Source organism: Homo sapiens, chromosome 1, assembly GCF_000001405.40.
Source record: "Homo sapiens chromosome 1, GRCh38.p14 Primary Assembly".
Taxonomy (NCBI): domain Eukaryota; kingdom Metazoa; phylum Chordata; class Mammalia; order Primates; family Hominidae; genus Homo; species Homo sapiens.
This window is the reverse complement of record NC_000001.11, coordinates 49,553,836-49,574,768: the sequence shown is the minus strand read 5'-3', so window position 1 is coordinate 49,574,768 and position 20,933 is coordinate 49,553,836. Positions and strand designations below refer to the sequence as shown.

Sequence of the window (20,933 nt, the reverse complement as noted above, 5' to 3'; positions counted from 1 at the left end):
TGCCTCTGCTGTCCATGACGGTAGCTATGCCCACCTTGCCTTTGATGGTTGAGTACCACCACTTATCTCCTGCCACCTTGGGATCCAATTATTCCCATTGTATTTAAATTTTGTAGTTGAGTGACTGTGGTTCCCACTGTTAAATCTGACATACAGAGAAGAGCAATTACAGGGCTCTTTAAAAATGCAGGTGCTGCCCTCACAAATCTATTTCACAAGGCATTTGTCAAGGGTATATTGTCTGGATCCTCTCAGCTGGAATGAGTAGGTCTAAAGTGACTAATCCAGTCCACTATACCAATCTCCCTAAGCCTTTGGATCCCTTCCTCTATGTTAAACCAAGGGAGATCAGGCATTTCCAGCTCGCTCACAGTGGGCCATCTTTTAATCCGTATTTCAGCTAACCAAGCAAATAAACTGTTAGAACCTCTTTTTAACTCCGTGAGCTGCAACATTAAAAGCAGAGTCCCTACTTAGTGGTCCCAAATCAATAAATTCAGCCTAATCCAAGTCTGTGTTCCTTCCACCATTATCCCATACCCTTAAAATCCATTCTTATGCCTGTTCTCCAGATTTCTGTTTATATAAATTAGAGAACCGAAACAGTTCGAGTGTAGCACACCTCATCATTGTTCACACTCTCACCCTTACCTCTAGGGGCCCACTGAGACTTTAGTTATAGGTCTAGAAGCAAACAGCGGTGTTGGGGTGGCTCCTGAAGAGAATCAACATTATTTTGCTTAGCAACTGCCTCAGGGGAGGCCATCACTGTTGCCTCAGGCAGCACAGGGTTTATCTCCTCAGACAAAGATCGACAGGCTGATGGCAGCATGAGTTGGGGTGGGGATGTTGCCACTACTGGGGTTGGGGAAGCTGTTCCTTCTGGCAAAAAAGATTCATCAGAGTTTACAAACTCAGTGTCCCCAGCTTCATCAGGGTTCTCCCACACATCCCCATTCTAAGTTCCAGGGTCCCATTCTTTCCAATCAATGCCCTCACTTTAACAGTAGACACCTGATGAGGCTGTGCATGCACCTTTTGTTGCAGGCCAGCCACTCACATTATAAGAGCTCATGTCTGTTTTTCCAGTTTCAGCTCTTTCTCTAGAGGATATAAGACTCTCACTCAGGGCAATCTTAGCAGATTTGAGGCTCAGTACCTGTTTCTGAAGCTGGGAGACAGAATCCCTGGGTTCATTATTTTCTTTCATTACTTTGTTCACTGAAATTAGGAGCAACCAACCAGCATCATTATGTTCCTTGGTTCTCCACATATGGTCAAAGGTATTATGTGTAGACTCACTAAACTCCTTGCCTCTCACAAATGGTGAATTAGGAGTGTCAAATGCATTTATTTTGTATACTCTCTAAACAGTTCATGTCAAGGACTATCAGTGTTCTCCATACTATTAGAAGTAGAGTCCTAGCATTTTTGTGTCTAACCATATTAAGCAGCCAATTCCAGAAACCCCAAAACCAACGAAAGAACTCCATCCTTAATATTCTGTTCCTCTAGAACCTCTCCTGGTACTAAAATCTGCATTAGTCAGGGTTGTCTAGAGGGATAGAACTAAAAGTATACACACACACACACACACACACACACACACACACACACACACAGACACACACACACAGACACACATATATATATATGAGAATTTATTATATATTAACTTACACCATCACAAGGTCCCATAATAACTTGTGTGTAGGCTTGAGCAGCAAGGAGAGCCAGTCTGAGTCTCAAAATTGAAGAACTTGGAGTCTGATGTTCAAGGGCAAGAAGCCTCCAGCATGGGAGAAAGCTGTAGGCTGGGAGGCTAGGCCAGAATCTCCCTTTCACATTTTTCTGCCCACTTTATGTTTACTGGCAGCTGATTAGATGGTTCCCACCCAATTAAGGATGGGTCTGCCCTTCCCAGCCCAGTGACTCAAATGTTAATCTCCTTTGGCAGTACCGTCACAGACACACCCAGGATTAATACTTTGTATCCTTCAATTCAATCAAGTTGACACTCAGTATTAACCATCACAATATTCAAAGAACACAATAAGAAATGATAAGGGGGCTATTACCACTGACTGCACAGAAATACAAACAACTATCAGAGAATACTATAAATAGCTCTATGCAAATAAACTAGAAAATCTAGAAGAAATGGATAAATTCCTGGACATACACTCTCCCAGGACTGAACCACGAACAGAACAAAATGAAATAGACAGCAGAAAAAAATTTTAAAATCAGTGAAATGAAATATTGATTGTTTGAAAAGATAAACAAATTGGTAAACTGCAGGCTAGAATACACAAGAAGAGGAATACCTAAATAAATAAAATAAGAAATGTAACAAGACATTATAACTGACACCACAAGCATTCAAAAGATTATTAGATAAATGCAAAGAATTGTATGTCATGAACTGGAAAATCTAGAGAAAATGGGTAAATCTTAGAAATGGACAGCCTCTTCAGATTAAAATAGAAGAATGCAAAAGCTAGAACTGACCAAAAATGAGTAGTGAGAGTAAATCTGTAATAAAGTTTTTTGAACAAAAAGAAGCCCCATAGCCTATGTATTCTTAGTTGAATGCTACCAAACATACAAAAAATAACTAATACCATTTTTTTGAAATTATTCCAAAATATTGAGTGGGAGAGAATCCTCCCTAATTCTTTCTGCAAGCCCAGTGTCACCCTGCTACCAAAACCAAGCAAACAAGGACACAGCATAAAAAGAAAACTGTAGATTAATATTCTAGATCAACATAGACACAAAAATTCTCATGAAAATACTTGCACACTGAATCCAACAGAACATAAAAAGATAATAGACTACAATAAAGTGGGTTTTATACCAGGCTTGCAAGAATGGTTCAACATTTGTAAGTAAATAACTGTGATGTATTAAATAAACAGAATTAAGGACAAAAACTCTACTATCATCTCAATAGAAACAGAAAAACGTGATAAATTCAGCAATGCTTCATGATTAAAAACCCTCAACAAATGACACAGAAGGGAGACAAACATCAAAATAATAAAGGCCATATACTAAAAACTGACAACTAACATGGTACTGAAAGAGGACAAGTTTAAAGTAATGCCTAAAGAACTGGAACAAGAGAAAGATGTCCACTTTCACCACTACTTGTCTACATACTTCTGAAAGTCCTCCCAGGGCAGGCAGCCAAGAGAAACAAATAAAAGGCCTCAAATCAGTATAGAGGAAGTCAAATTATCTCTGTTTGCTGATGATATTACCTTATATTTAGAACAACCTAAAGGCCTACCTAAAAACTCTTAGCATTGATAAATGAATTCAGTAATCATGCAGGATACAAAATTGATGTACGAAAAGAAGTAGCATTTCTATACACCAATATTGATTGAGCTAAGAATGAAATAAAGAAGTTTACCCTATAACTGAAAAAAAATACCTAGGAATCCATCTAAGCAAGGAAGTGAAAAATTTCTATAAGGAAAACCACAATACACTATGAAAGAAATTGTAGATGACACAAACAAATGAAAAAGGCATCTTCTGGTGATGTACCTGAAGAATTAATGTAGTTAAAGGATTATACTGCTCAAAGAAATCTACAGATTCAATACAATCTTTCTCATAATACAAACACCGTCTTTCACAGAATTAGAAAAAAAAAAAGGCCTAAAATACATATGGTACTATGAAAGAGCCCAAATAAACAAAGCAATCCTAGGCAAAAAGAATGAAGCTAGAGGCATCATATTATGTGACTTCAAATTATATTGCAAGGCTATAGTAATAAAACAGCATGGTAATGGTATAAAAACAGACACATAGATCAATGAAACAGAATAGAGAACCCAGAAATAAAGCCACTTATCTACAGCCAACTGATCTTTGAAAAAGTTGACAAAAACTTACACTGGGAAAAGGACACCCTAGTAAATCAATGGTACTGGGAAGATTGCCTAGCCATAGACAGAAGAATGAACCTGGATCCTTATCTCTCATCATATATAAAAATAAACTCAAGATGAATTAAATGCTTAAATGTAAGACATGAATCTATAAAAATACTAGACGAAAATCTAGGGAACCTCTTCTGGACATTGGTCTAGGCAAACAATATATGACTAAGACTTCAAAAACACAGGCAACAAAACAAAAATAGATAAATGAGACTTAATTTAACTAAAAAGCTTCTGCACAGCAAAATAAATAATCAACATAGTGAAGACTGCCTACAGAATAGGAAAAAACATTTGGAAATAATGCATCTAACAGAGGATTAATACCCAGACTTTACAAGGAAGTCAAAAAACCACAACAAAACTCCCAAATGATCCAATTAAAAAGTGGGCAAAGGACATATTTTTAATGTTTATGCAGACATTTTTAAAAAGAAGATATGCATATGGCCAAGAAGCAATTTTAGCATGCTGAACATCACTAATCATGAGAAAAATGCAAATTAAAACCACAATGAGATAGAATCTTACCCCAGTGAGAATGGCTATTATTAAAAAGTCAGCAACAGATGTTGGTGAAGGTGTGGAGAAAATGGAATACTTATTCACTGTTGGGAGGAATGAAAATTAGTATAACCTCCATGGGAAAAAAAAGTATGAAGCATTCTCAAAGAACTAAAAATAGAACTACCATTTGATCCAGCAGTTCCACTAGTGAGTATGCAAGGAAAACAAATCTACACATCAAAAAGATACCTGCACTTGTGTGCTTATCACAGCACTATTCATAATAACAAAGAAATGGAATCAACCTAAGTGTTCATCAACAGATGACTGAATAAAAAAATGTGGTATATATACACAGTGGAATACTATTCAGCCATAAAAAGAATGAAATCATGTCTTTTGCTGCAGCATGTATGGAACTGGAGGCCATTATCTTAAGTGAAATAAGTGAACACACAAAGGAAAGTATCATATGTTCTCACTCATAAGTGAGAGCTAAATAATGTATACATATGGATATAGAGAGTGGAATGATAGACAAAGGAGACTCAGAATGGTGAGTGTATTGCAGTGGTGGGAGATAAGAAATTACTTATTGTGTGCAATGTACATTATTTTGTTTATGGATAACCTGAAAGCACTCACTTGATCCATATGCAATCTATGGGTGTGGCAGAATTGCATTTGTACCCAATAAATTTATATAAAAAAATAAATAAGTCAAAGGCAAATATTAAAAACTAAAACGCAAATGTAAGCATGCTTTCTTTTTTAAAATTAATTTTTTATTTTTGTGTGTAAGTAGTAGGTATATATATTTATGGGGTACATGAAATGTTTTAATAATGGCATGCAATGTGAAGTAATCACATCATAGAGAATAGGGTATCCATCTCCTCAAGCATTTATCCTTTGAGTCACAAACAATCCAGTAACACTCTTATTTTAAAATGTATAATTATTATTGACAATAGTCACCTTGTTGAGCTATCAAATTGTAGGTTTTACCCATTCTTTCTAGGTTTTATGGTACCCACTAGCCATCCTACCCCTGCCCCAGCCCCCAACTACCCTTCCCAGACTCTGGTAACCATCCTACTCTCTATCTCCATGAGTTCAATTGTCTTGATTTTTATATCCCTCAAAATGAGAACATGTGATGTTTGTCTTTCTGTGGCTGGATAATTTCACTTATCATAATGACTTCCAGTTCCATTCATGTTGTTGCAAATGACAAGATTTCATTCTCTTTCATGGCTGAATAGTACTCCATTGTGTCTATGTATCACATTTTATTAATTCTTTCATGTGTTGATGGACACTTAGGTTACTTCCAAATTTTAGCTATCATAAACAGTGTTGTAACAAACGCGGGAGTGCAAATATCTCTCTGATATGCTAAATTTTCTTGTTTGTGTCAGCATTGTGGAAGATCAGATGGTTGTAGGTGTGTGGCCTTATTTCTGAGTTATCTGTGCTGTTCCATTGGTCTCTGTGTTTTTGTACCAGTACCATGCTGTTTTGGTTACAGTAGCCCTGCAGTATAGTTTGAGGTCAGGTAGCATGATGCCTCCAGCTTTGCTGTTTTTACTTAGAATTGCCTTGGCTATTGGACTCTTTTTTGGTGCCATATGAATTTTAAAATACTTTTTGTTTTTTTTTAGTTCTATGAAGAACATCATTGGTAGTTTGATAGGGATAGCATTGAATTTATAAATAACTTTGGTCAGTATTGCCATTTTAACAATATTGATTCTTCCTTTCCATGAGCATGGCATTTGTGTGTGTGTGTGTGTGTGTGTGTGTGTGTGTGTGATCACTTATTTCTTTGAGCAGTGTTTTGTAGTTCTCATTGGGGAGATCTTTCATCTCCCTGCCTAGTTGTATTCCCAGGTATTTTATTCTTTTTGTGTAAATTGTGAATAGTATTGCGTTCCTGATTTGGCTCTCAGCATGACAGTTATTGGTGTATAAGAATGCTTGTCATTTTTTACATTAATTTTGTATCCTGAGACTTCACTGAAATTATCAGCTTAAGGAGCTTTTGGTCCAAGACTATGCAGTTTTCTAGATATAGAATTATGTCATCTGGAGACAGGGATAGTTTGACTTTCTCTCTTTCTATTTGGATGCCCTTTATTTTTTTTCTTTTACTTGATTGCTCTGGCCAGGTATTCCAATACTATCTAGGGGGAATGAGAGGTATTCCAATACTAACAGGAGGGATGAGAGAGAGCATCTTTGTTTTGTGCTGGTTTTCAATGGAATTCGTCCAGCTTTTGCCAATTGAGTATAATGTTGGCTGTGGGTTTTTTATATATGGCTCTTATTATTTTGAGGTATGTTCCTTCAATACCTAGTTTATTGAAACTTTTAAACATGGATGGTGTTGAATTTCATCAAAAGCCTTTTCTGAATCTATTGAAATGATCATGTAGTTTTTGTCCTTAATTCTGTTTATGTGATGAGTTGCATTTGTTTATTTGCATATGTTGAACCAAACCTTGCCTGAAGTTTTCTTCTTTTGCTGTGTCTTTTCCAAGTTTGGGTATCAGCATGATGCTGGCCTCATAGAATGAGGGAGGGAGAGCATTAGGAAAAATAGCTAATGCATGCTGGGCTTAATATCTAAGGAATGGGTTGATAGGTGCAGAAAACTACCATGGCACATGTTTCCCTATGTAACAAACCTGCACATGTACCCAGGAACTGAAAAATAACAAAATAAAATAACTTTTAATTTTAAAATCATAATAATATTTTTAAAAATTACTATACTTTTATTATATGTAAGTAAAATTTAACAGTATTTTGATACCCTTAATTATCACTGTTCATATAAAAAGCAAAAAATAGGGTGGAGCCAAGATGGCCGAATAGGAACAGCTCCAGTCTACAGCACCCAGCATGAGTGATGCAGAAGACGGGTGATTTCTGCATTTCCAACTGAGGTACCAGGTTCATCTCACTGGGGAGTGCCGGAAAGTGGGTGCAGGACAGTGGGTGCAGTGCACCGTGCGTGAGCCAAAGCAGGGCGAGGCATCACCTCACCCGGAAAGTGCAAGGGGTCAGGGAATTCCCTTTCCTAGTCAAAGAAAGGGGTGACAGACGGCACCTGGAAAATCGGGTCACTCCCACCCTAATACTGCACTTTTCCAATGGTCTTAACAAACGGCACACTAGGAGATTATATCCTGCATCTGGCTTGGAGGGTCCTATGCCCACGGAGCCTCGCTCATTGCTAGCACGGCAGTCTGAGATCAAACTGCAAGGTGGCAGTGAGGCTGGGGGAGGGGCGCCTGCCATTGTCCAGGCTTGAGTAGGTAAACAAAGCAGCCGAGAGGGAAGCTCAAACTGGGTGGAGCCCACCACAGCTCAAGGAGGCCTGCCTGCCTCTGTAGGCTCCACCTCTGGGGGCAGGGCACAGACAAACAAAAGACAGCAATAACCTCTGCAGACTAAAATGTCCCTGTCTGACAGCTTTGAAGAGAGTAGTGGTTCTCCCAGCACGCAGCTTGAGATCTGAGAATGGGCAGACTGCCTCCTCAAGGGGTCCCTAACCCCCGAGTAGCCTAACTGGGAGGCACCTCCCAGTAGGGGCGGACTGACACCTCACAAAGCCAGGTACCCCTCTGAGACAAAACTTCCAGAGGAACGATCAGGCAGCAGCATTTGCGGTTCACCAATATCCGCTGTTCTGCAGCCACTGCTGCTGATACCCAGGCAAACAGGGTCTGGAGTGGACCTCCAGTAAACTCCAACAGACCTGCAGCTGAGGTTCCTGACTGTTAGAAGGAAAACTAGCAAACAGAAAGGACATCCACACCAAAAACCCATCTGTACATTACCATCATCAAAGACCAAAGGTAGATAAAACCACAAAGATGGGGAAAAAACAGAGCAGAAAAATTGGAAACTAAAAATCAGAGCGCCTCTCCTCCTCCAAAGGAACACAGCTCCTCACCAGCAACGGAACAAAGCTGGACGGAGTGTAACTTTGATGAATTGAGAGAAGAAGGCTTCAGAAGATCAAACTACTCTGAGCTAAAGGAGGAAATTCGAACCAATGGCAAAGAAGCTAAAAACTTGAAAAAAAATTAGACGAATGGATAACTAGAATAACCAATGCAGAGAAGTCCTTAAAGGACCTGATGGAGCTGAAAACCATGGCACAAGAACTACGTGATGAATGCATAAGCCTCAGTAACTGATGCGATCAACGGGAAGAAAGGGTATCAGCGATGGAAGACGAAATGAATGAAATGAAGCATGAAGAGAAGTTTAGAGAGAAAAGAACAAAAAGAAATGAACAAAGCCTCCAAGAAATATGGGACTATGTGAAAAGACCAAATCTACATCTAATTGGTGTACCTGAAAGTGACGGGGAGAATGGAACCAAGTTGGAAAACACTCTGCAGGATATTATCCAGGAGAACTTCCCCAATGTAGCAAGGCAGGCTAACATTCAAATTCAGGAAATACAGAGAACACCACAAAGATACTCCTCAAGAAGAGCAACTCCGAGACACATACTTGTCAGATTCACCAAAGATGAAATGGAAAAAATGTTAAGGGCAGCCAGAGAGAAAGGTTGGGTTACCCACAAAGGGAAGCCCATCAGACTAACAGCGGATCTCTCGGCAGAAACTCTACAAGCCAGAAGAGAGTGGGGGCCAATATTCAACACTCTTAAAGAAAAGAATTTTCAACCCAGAATTTCATATCCAGCCAAACTAAGCTTCATACATGAAGGAGAAATAAAATCCTTTACAGACAAGCAAATGCTGAGAGATTTTGTCACCACCAGGCCTGCCCTAAAAGAGGTCCTGAAGGAAGCACTAAACATGGAAGGGAACAACCAGTACCAGCCACTGCAAAAACATGCCAAATTGTAAAGACCATCAAGGCTAGGAAGAAACAACATCAACTAACGAGCAAAATAAGCAGCTAACATCATAATGACAGGATCAAATTCACACATAACAATTCTTACCTTAAATGTAAATGGGCTAAATGCTTCAATTAAAAGGCACAGACTGGCAATTTGGATAGAGTCAAGACCTATCAGTGTGCTGTATTCAAGAAACCCATCTCATGTGCAGAGACACACATAGGCTCAAAATAAAGGGATGGAGGAAGATCTACCAAGCAAATGGAAAACAAAAAAAGGCAGGGGTTGCAATCCTGTCTCAGAAAAAACAGACTTTAAACCAACAAAGATCAAAAGAGACAAAGAAGACATTACATAATGGTAAAGGGATCAATTCAACAAGAAGAACTAGCTATCCTAAATATATATGCACCCAATACAGGAGCACCCAGATTCATAAAGCAAGTCCTTAGAGACCTACAAAGAGACTTAGACTCCCACACAATAATAATGGGAGACTTTAACACCCCACTGTCAACATTAGACAGATCAACAAGACAGAAAGTTAAGAAGGATATCCAGGAATTGAACTCAGCTCTGCACCAAGCGGACCTAATAGACATCTACAGAACTCTCCACCCCAAATCAACAGAATATACATTCTTTTCAGCACCACATCACACCTATTCCAAAATTGACCACATAGTTGGAAGTAAAGCACTCCACAGCAAATGTAAAAGAATAGAAATTATAACAAACTGTCTCTCAGACCACAGTGCAATCAAACTAGAACTCAGGATTAAGAAACTCACTCAAAACCACTCAACTACATGGAAACTGAACAACCTGCTCCTGAATGACTACTGGGTACATAACAAAATGAAGGCAGAAATAAAGATGTTCTTTGAAACCAACGAGAAGAAAGACACAACATACCAGAATGTCTGGGACACATTCAAAGCAGTGTGTAGAGGGAAATTTATAGCACTAAATGCCTACAAGAGAAAGCAGGAAAGATCTAAAATTGGCACCCTAACATCACAATTAAAAGAACTAGAGAAGCAATAGCAAACACATTCAAAAGCTAGCAGAAGGCAAGAAATAACTAAAATCAGAGCAGAACTGAAGGAAATAGAGACACAAAAAGCCCTTCAAAAAATCCGTGAATCCAGCAGCTGGTTTTTTGAAAAGATCAACAAAATTGATAGACTGCTAGCAAGACTAATAAAGAAAAGAGAGAATAATCAAATAGACGCAATAAAAAATGACAAAGGGGACATCACCACCGATCCCACAGAGATACAAACTACCATCAGGGAATACTATAAACACCTCTACGCACATAAACTAGAAAATCTAGAAGAAATGGATAAATTCCTCGACACATACACCCTCCCAAGACTAAACCAGGAAGAAGTTGAATCCCTTAATAGACCAATAACAGGCTCTGAAATTGAGGCAATAATTAATAGCTTACTAACCAGAAAAAGTCCAGGACCAGATGGATTCACAGCCAAATTCTACCAGAGGTACAAGGAGGAGCTGGTACCATTCCTTCTGAAACTATTCCAATCAATAGAAAAAGAGGGAATCCTCCCTAACTCATTTTATGAGGCCAGCATCATCCTGATACCAAAGCCGGGCAAAGACACAACAAAAAAAGAGAATTTTAGACCAATATCCTTAATGAACATTGATGCAAAAATCCTCAATAAAATACTGGCAAACCAAATCCAGCAACACATCAAAAAGCTTATCCACCATGATCAAGTGGGCTTCATCCCTGGGATGCAAGGCTGGTTCAACATATGAAAATCAATAAATGTAATCCAGCATATAAACAGAACCAAAGACAAAACCCACATGATTATCTCAATAGATGCAGAAAAGGCCTTTGACAAACTTCAACAACGCTTCATGCTAAAAACTCTCAATAAATTAGGTACTGATGGGACGTATCTCAAAATAATAAGAGCTATCTGTGACAAACCCACAGCCAATATCATACTGAACAGACAAAAACTGGAAGCATTCCCTTTGAAAACTGGCACAAGACAGGGATGCCGTCTCTCACCACTCCTATTCAACATAGTGTTGGAAGTTCTGGCCAGGACAATCAGGCAGGAGAAGGAAATAAAGAGCATTCAATTAGGAAAAGAGGAAGTCAAATTGTCCCTCTTTGCAGATGACATGATTGTATATCTAGAAACCCCATTGTCTCAGCCCAAAATCTCCTTAAGCTGATAAGCAACTTCAGCAAAGTCTCAGGATACAAAATCAATGTGCAAAAATCACAAGCATTCTTATACACCAATAACAGACAAACAGAGAGCCAAATCATGAGTGAACTCCCATTCACAATTGCTTCAAAGAGAATAAAATACCTAGGAATCCAACTTACAAGGGATGTGAAGGACCTCTTCAAGGATAACTACGAACCACTGCTCAATGAAATAAAAGAGGATACAAACAAATGGAAGAACATTCCATGCTCATGAGTAGGAAGAATCAATATCATGAAAATGGCCATACTGCCCAAGGTAATTTATAGATTCAATGCCATCCCCATCAAGCTGCCAATGACTTTCTTCACAGAATTGGAAATAACTACTTTAAAGTCCATATGGAATCAACAAAGAGCCCACATTGCCAAGTCAATCCTAAGCCAAAAGAACAAAGCTGGAGGCATCACGCTACCTGACTTCAAACTATACTACAAGGCCACAGTAACCAAAACAGCATGGTACTGGTACCAAAACAGAGATATAGACCAATGGAACAGAACAGAGCCCTCAGAAATAATGCCATATATCTACAAATATCTGATCTTTGACAAACCTGACAAAAACAAGCAAGGGGGAAAGGATTCCCTATTTAATAAATGGTGCTGGGAAAACTGGCTAGCCATAAGCAGAAAGCTGAAACTGGATCCCTTCCTTACACCTTATACAAAAATTAATTCAAGATGGATTAAAGACTTACATGTTAGACCTCAAACCATAAAAACCCTAGAAGAAAACCTAGGCAATACCATTCAGGACATAGGCATGGGCAAGGACTTCATGTATAAAACACCAAAAGCAATGGCAACAAAAGCCAAAATTGACAAATGGGATCTAATTAAACTAAAGAGCTTCTGCACAGCAAAAGAAACCACCATCAGAGTGAACAGGCAACCTACAGAATGGGAGAAGATTTTTGCAACCTACTTATCTGACAGAGGGCTAATATCCAGAATCTACAATGAACTCAAACACATTTACAAGAAAAAAACAAACAACCACATTAAAAAGTCGGCGAAGGATATGAACCCACACTTCTCAAAAGAAGACATTTATGCAGCCAAAAAACACCTGAAAAAATGCTCATCATCACTGGCCATCAGAGAAATGCAAATCAAAACCACAATGAGATACCATCTCACACCAGTTAGAATGGCAGTCATTAAAAAGTCAGGAAACAACAGGTGCTGGAGAGGATGTGGAGAAATAGGAACACTTTTACACTGTTGGTGGGACTGTAAACTAGTTCAACCATTGTGGAAGTCAGTGTGGCAATTCCTCAGGGATCTAGAACTAGAAATACCATTTGACCCAGCCATCCCATTACTGGGTATATATCCAAAGGATTATAAATCATGCTGCTATAAAGACACATGCACACGTATGTTTATTGTGGCGCTATTCACAATAGCAAAGACTTGGAACCAACCCAAATATCCAACAATGATAGACTGGATTAAGAAAATGTGGCACATATACACCATGGAATACTATGCAGCCATAAAAAATGATGAGTTCATGTCCTTTGTAGGGACATGGAGGAAGCTGGAAACCATCATTCTCAGCAAACTATCACAAGGACAAAAAACCAAAAACCACATGTTCTCACTCATAGGTGGGAATTGAACCATGAGAACACATGGACACAGGAAGGGGAACATCACACAGTGGGGACTGTTGTGGGTTGGGGGGAGGGGGGACGGATAGCATTAGGAGATACACCTAATGCTAAATGACGAGTCAATGGGTGCAGCACACCAACATGGCACATGTGTACATATGTAACCTGCATGTTGTGCACATGTACCCTAAAACTTTAGGGTACATGTATAATAAAGGTTAAAGTATAATAATAATAATAAAAAATAAAAATAAAAAGCAAAAAATATACAATTTTTTTTAAAAAGAAAACTTAAAAAAGCTCTACACCCTAAATTGGTTTACCCACTTCTTAACTTTTTATTGTTTCTATTTATATCATATTTACTAAGTCTTGAAAAGTTTTTGTAGTTATTATTTTTAATTGGTTCATCATTCAATCTTTGTGCTATGAGTGAGAGTAGTTTACACACCATAGTTATGTTGTTATAGAATTTTGTGTTTTCCATGTCCTTACTATTAGCAGTGAGTTTGTACCTTCAGGTGATTAGTTATTTCTCACTGGCATCTTTTTCTTCCTGATCGAAGTCCCTTTAGCATTCCTTTAGGACGGGTCTGGTGTTGATGAAATCCCTCAGCTTTTGTTTTTCTGGGAAAATCTTTATTCCCTCTTCATGTTTAAAGGACATTTTCACCAGATATACTATTCAGGGGTAAAAGATTTTTTCCTTTAGGACTTTAGGTAAATCATTCGAGTCTCTCCTAGTTTGTAAGGTTTCCATTGAAAAGTCTGCTGTCAGACATACTGGAGCTCCATTTTATGTTATTTGTTTCTTGTTTCTTACTGCTTTTAGGAATCTTTATTTATCCTTGAACTTTGTGAGTTTATTAAATAGTTTGATTATTTGGGTTAAGTCCGTTTGGTGTTGCATAATCTTCCTGTACTTGGACGTTGATATCTTTCTCTGCGTTTGGGAAGTTCTTATTATCTCTTTGAATAAACTTTCTACCCATATCTCTTTCTCAGTCTTGTCTTTGAGGCCAATAACTTTTAGATTTACCCTTTTGTGGCTACTTTCTAGAATCTTTAGGTGTGCTTCATTGTTTTTTGTCTTTTTTTAATACTCTGTGTATTTTAAATAGCCTGTCTTCAGGCTCACTAATTTTTTCTTTTGCTTTATCAATTCTTCTATTGAAAGACTTCTGCATTCTTCAGTACATGAATTGAGTTTTTCATATCCAGAATTTCTGCTTGATTCTTTTCAAATTATCTCTGTCTCTTTATTTAGTTTATCTGATGAAATTCTGATTTTTTTCTCCGTGTTATCTTGGATTTCTTTGAGTTTCCTCAACACATCTATTTTGAATTCTCTGAAAGGTAACATATTGTTCCTCCAGTATTGGTCCCTGGTGCTTTATTGAGTTCATTTGGTGAGGTCATGTTTTTCTCAATGGTGCTGATGCTGGTAGATGTTCTTGAGTGTCTGGCCATTGAAGAGGTAGATATTCATTGCAGGCTTCACTGTTTAGGGTTGTTTATATTTGTCCTTCTTGGGAAGGCTTTCCAGATATTTGAAAGAACTTGGGTGTCGTGATGTGTATTAGGGATCTCCAGAGAGACAGAAGTAATAGGATACATGTATATATGAAAGGGAGTTTATTAGTGATAATTGACTCACACTATCACAAAGTACAATTTCCCAATAGGCTGTCTGCAAGCTGAGGAGCAAGGAAGTCAGTAGAGGCTCAGTCCAAGTCCCAAAACCTCAAAAACAGGGAAGCCAACAGTGTAGCCTTCAATGTGTCGCTGAAGGCTTAAGAGCCCCTGGCAAACCACTGGTGTAAGTTCAAGACTCCAAAAGCTGAAGAACCTGCAGGCTGATGTTCAAGGGCAGGAAGCATCCAGAACAGTAGAAGGATCAAAGTCAGAAGACTCAGCAAGTCAGTTTTTTCCACTTTCTTCCACCTGCTTTTTCTAGCTGTGCTGGCAGCCAATTGGATGGTTTCCACCAAAATGGAGGGTGGATCTGCCTCTTTCAGTCCACTGACTGAAATGTTAATCTTCTCTGGGAAGACCCTCAGAAACACACCCAGAAACAATACTTTGCATCCTTCAATCAAGTTGACACTTAATATTAACCATCACATAATTTAAGCTGTATCTGCTTTAGATGACATCCCAAGCCTAGTAACGCTGTGGTTCTTGCAGACTCATAGAGGGTACTGCCTTGATAGTCTTGTACAAGATCCATTAGAATTCTCTGGATTACTAGGGAGAGATTCCTATTATTTTCCCTTACATTCCTCAAAAGAAACCGTATCTCTTTCTGTTCTGAGCCTCCTGGAATTAGAGGTGGCATGACACAAAAACCTGCATGGTTACCACAACTAGGACTGTGCTGTGTTAGACCTGAAGCCATCACAGCACTGGATCTCACCCAAGACCTTAGGTACTTCCGATGTTCATAAAGGCTCTGGGGCTCTATACGTGGCATGTGGCAAAGCCAGCCAGGCCATGGTTCTTCCCTTCAGGATGGCGAGTTCCCCCAGGCCCCAGGAGGGTCCAGAGGTACCACCCAGGAGTCAGGGACTAGAGTCAAATACCTTAAAAGTCTACCTGGTTTTCTATTATACTGTAGCTGAACTGGCACTCAAGTCACAGGACACAGCACTTCCACTTTTTTCTCCTTTTTCCAAAGGATGAGCCTCACCCAGTAGCCACTGCCACCACAGACTATGGAGAGTACTGCCAGAATACTGTTGATGTTCCTTTAAGGCTCAAGAGCTCTTAAGTCAGTTTGTGGTGAATGCTGCTTGGCCTGCAACTCACCCTCTAGGGTACTGGGCTCTCTGCTGGCCCATGGCAGGTCCAGAGGTGCTGTACAAGTGTCAAATCTTAGAATCAAGGATCCCAGCTAGGCGTGGTGGCTCACACCAGTAAGCCCAGCACTTTGGGAGGCCAAAGCAGGCAGATCCTGAGGTGAGGAGATCAAGACCATCCTGGCCAACATGGTGAAACCCCATCTCTACTAAAAATACAGAAATTAGCTGGGTGTGGTGGCGCATGCTTGTAGTCTCAGCTACTTGGGAGGCTCACAGGAGAATCGCTTGAACCCAGCAGGCAGAAGTTGCAGTGAGCTGAGATCGCACCACTGCACTCCAGTGTGGCAACAGAGTGAGACTCCATCTCAAAATATAAAACAAACAAAACACAGAATCAGGGATCCCAAAATCCAGCTTGGTTCTCTGACACACTGTGGCCATTCTGGTACCTAAGGTTCAAGGCAAAGTCCCCTTTATTTTTTTCTCTACTTTTCTCAAGAAGGAGTTTTTCCCCACAGCTACCACAGGTGGTAATGTGCTGGGTCTCACCTGAAGCCAACAAGCCTAAGGCTCACGCACAGCCCTTGAGGTAGTATGTGAGTATCACTGCTGATTATTCAGGGTCCAAGGGCTCTTCAGTTAGCAGGTAACAAATGCTAGGACTGGGTTTTTCCCTTTAAGGTAGAAGGTTCTCTTTGGGCCCAGGGTCTGTCTGGAAATGTCCTGGAGCTAGTGCCTGGAATAAGGCCTCACTACTCTTAACTGGTGCCCTATTATGCTATGGTAGAGCTGGTATTTAAGATGCAAGACAAATCCTCCCCACTCTTCCATGTTTTCTTCTCAAGCAGAAGGAAGGGGTCTCTTTTGGAGCTGCAATCTCGGCAGCCTTGGGTTAGGGGAGGGGTGATAGCAGCTCTCCCTTTCCCACCCCAGCTGATGTCTCACTATGTCAGGTGCTTCCCCAGTTCACTGTCTCTGGGCCTAGTTCAGCAATAGGACTCACTTACAAGTTGAAGGCCTTATGGCCTAGGCTGCCTTTTATGTTTACTTAGAGACCCAGACCACTTTAGCCCTTGGTGGTAGGGTTTGCAGGAACTCAAGTTGAGACCACTGGAAACAGTGATTCCCCTCTGGTTAGGGCTGGGTGAAGTTCTCCCTCCATGGGCAGATATCAGCTGAGTTTGGTCCAGTTTTCCTTTCTGCTCTAAGAGGACAGCCCTGAGTTCAATGTCTCATCATTGCTGTGTTCTTCCTTCCCCAGCGCCCAGAGACACTCTGAATTATGCTGCTGCTGCCAGGTTGTGGGGGTGTGGTGGTGTCAGTGAGTCAAGACTATTTTTTCTATTTCTTCAATGCCTCTTTCAACAATATGAAATTAAAACCAGGTACTATGAGGGCTCACCTGATTTTTGGTTCTTATGAATGTGTCTTTTTTTGTAGATAGTTGTTAAATTGGTGTCCTTGTGAGAGGTGACAACATGCTAGCAGCCCTCGCTCGCTCTCAGCACCTCCTCAGGCCTCAGCGTCCGCTCTGGCAGCACTTGAGGAACACTTCAGCCCGCCTCTGCACTGTGGGAGACCTTCTCTGGGCTGGCCAAGGCTGCAGCCAGCTCCCTCTGCTTGTGGGGAGGTGTGGAGGGAGAGGCTCGGGTGGGAACCAGGGCTGCACGCAGCAATCACGGGCCAGTGCGAGTTCCGAGTGAGCGAGGGCTGGGCAGCCCCGCACTCTGAGCAGCTAGCAGCCGGCAGGCACCGCCGGCCCCAGGCAGTGAGGGGCTTAGCACCTGGGCCAGCATCTGCGGAGGGTGCGCCGGGTCCCCCAGCACTGCAGGCCCACCCGCGCCGCGCTTGAATTCTCGTCAGGCCTCAGCCATCTCCCTGCAGGGCAGGGCTCAGGACCTGCAGCCTGCCATGCCCAAGCCCTCATGCCCACCCCTTGCACCGCACGAGCCTTCCCGACGGACCTCGCCCCCTGCTCCGAGGCCCCAGGTCCCATGGACGGCCCAAGGGCTGAAGAGTGCCGGCACCTAGCACTGGACTAGCAGGCAGCTCCGCCTGCGGCCCCTGCGCGGGATCCACTAGGCGAAGCCAGCTGGGCTCCTGAGTCGGGTGGTGACTTAGAGAACTTTTATGTCTAGATAAAGGTTTGTAAATGCACCAATCGGCACTTTGTGTCTAGCTAAAGATTTGTTTATATATATATATATATATAATTTTTTTTATTATACTTTAAGTTCTAGGGTACATGTGCACAATGTGCAGGTTTGTTACATATGTATACATGTGCCATGTTGGTGTCATTTACATTAGGTATATCTCCTAATACTATTCCTGCCCCCTTCCCCCACCTCACGACAGGCGCCAGTATGTGATGTTCCCCTTCCTGTGTCCAAGTGTTCCTTATTCAATTCCCACCTATGAGTGAGAACATGCGGTGTTTGGTTTTTTGTCCTTGTGATAGTTTGCTGAGAATGATGGTTTCCAGCTTCATCCATGTCCCTACAAAGGACATGAACTCATCATTTTTTATGGCTGCATAGTATTCCATGGTGTATATGTGCCACATTTTCTTAATCCAGTCTATAATTGTTGGACATTTGGGTTGGTTCCAAGTCTTTGTTATTGTGAGTAGTGCCGCAATAAACATACGTGTGCATGTGTCTTTATAGCAGCATGATTTATAATCCTTTGGGTATATACCCAGTAATGGGATAGTTGAGTCAAATGGTATTTCTAGTTCTAGATCCCTGAGGAATCGCTACACTGTCTTCCACAATGGTTGAACTAGTTTACAGTCCCACCAACAGTGTCAAAGTGTTCCTATTTCTCCACATCCTCTCCAGCACCTGTTGTTTCCTGACTTTTTAATGATGTCCATTCTAACTGGTGTGAGATGATATCTCATTGTGGTTTTGATTTGCATTTCTGTGATGGCCAGTGATGATGAGCATTTTTTCATGTGTCTGTTGGCTGCATAAATGTCTTCTTTTGAGAAGTGTCTGTTCATATCCTTGGCCCACTTTTTGATGGGTTTTTTTTTTTCTTGTAAATTTGTTTGAGTTCTTTGTAGATTCTGGAGATTAGCCCTTTGTCAGATGAGTAGATTGCAAAAATTCTCCAAGTCCCCACTAGATTAGCTAGACACAGAGCACTGATTGGTGCATTTACAAACCTTGAGCTACACACAGAGTGCTGATTGGTGCATTTACAAGCCTTTAGCTAGACACAAAAGCTAGACACAAAAGCACCCATCAGCACTGTATGTCTAGCTCAAGGTTTGTAAACACACCAATCAGTGCTCTGTGTCTAGCTAATCTAGTGGGGACTTGGAGAACTTTTGTGTCTAGCTAAAGGATTGTAAATGCACCAATCAGCACTCTGTGTCTAGCTCAAGGTTTGTAAATGCACCAATCAGTGCTCTGTGTCTAGCTAATCTAGTGGGGACTTGGAGAACTTTTGTGTCTAGCTAAAGGATTGTCAATGCACCAATCAGCACTCTGTGTCTAGCTCAAGGTTTGTAAATGCACCAATCAGCACCCTGTCAAAACGGACCAATCAGTTCTTTGTAAAATGGGCCAATCAGCTCTCTGTAAAATGGACCAATCAGCGGGATGTGAGTGGGGTCAGATAAGGGAATAAAAGCAGGCTGCCAGAGAGCCAGCAGTGGCAACCCACTCGGTTCCCCTTCTTCCTGTGGAAGCTTTGTTCTTTTGCTCTTCACAGTAAATCTTTCTGCTGCTCACTCTTTGGGTCCGTGCTGCCTTTAAGAGCTTTAACACTCACCGTGAAGGTCTGCAGCTTCACTCCTGAGGCCAGCGAGACCACGAACCCACCAGAAGGAACGAACAACTCCAGACGCGCCGCCTTTAAGAGCTGTAACACTCACCCGAAGGTCTGCAGCTTCACTCCTGAAGTCAGTGAGATCATGAACCCACCAGAAGGATGAAACTCTGGACACATCTGAACATCAGAAGGAACAAACTCCAGACACACCATCTTTAAGAACTGTAACACTCACCGCGAGGGTCCGCGTCTTCATTCTTGAAGTCAGCGAGACCAAGAAACCACCAATTCTGGACACATTTGTGGGCGGGACAATTGATGGAGCCTTCTACTTTGCTCTTTCTCTGCCTCCTCTCAAGCATGTTTTCTTAAAAATACATTGTTATTAAAAACACTTGGTATCTGGAGTGTCTTGAAAAACATCACTAATGAGCCTTGATCTATTTGCAAATGGAAAGTGAAAATTTGTTTAGTAAGCTAAAAAAATGGTTTCAATTGTTTTATTATTATGTCTCTGAGACAGAAGCTGAAATTTTAAAACCTTTTATCTGTGCTCAGTATAAAAAAAAATGTGTTTGCATTTTCAAGGCTCTTCCTGAGAAACTCAGACTCTTGGCTGATGATTGCTTGTCCTGGAGAGATAAATCTGTCTTTGGCATGGAAGAAATCTTATTTATCGGAACTTCTCTGCATAGCACTGTTGGAGTATTGTGATGAATTAGAAAGACCATGGACTTTGTAGTTTGGACCTTCTGGATTTAAATCCTGGTTCTATATGTCTTAGCTCTGAGACTGTGTGTGTGTGTGTGTTTCTAGACAGGATCTTGCTTTGTCACCCAGACTCAAGTGCAGTGGTGTAATCATACCTCACTGCTGCCTGGAACTCCTGGCCTCAAACAATGCTCTCCCCTCAGGTTTCCTGAGTAGATGGAATTGCACCACTAACGCCAGCTAAGGTTTTAAAATTTTCTGAAGAGATGGGATCCCACTATGTTGCTCAGTCTGCTCTAGAACTCCTGCTTCAAGGGATCCTCCCATCTCAACCTCCTAAAGTGCTGGGATTATGGGCATGACCCACCATGCTCAGCCAAAATGTGTGAGAAGAAAATT

General features: G+C 40.8%; 1 protein-coding gene across 10 annotated transcripts in view; it reads left to right on the top strand.

Annotated features, from left to right (window-relative positions):
• The window catches only part of AGBL4 (AGBL carboxypeptidase 4), a 1,501,444-nt gene that overhangs the window by 449,186 nt on the left and 1,031,325 nt on the right, over positions 1-20,933 (top strand). The gene's annotated exons all lie outside the window — the stretch shown is intronic.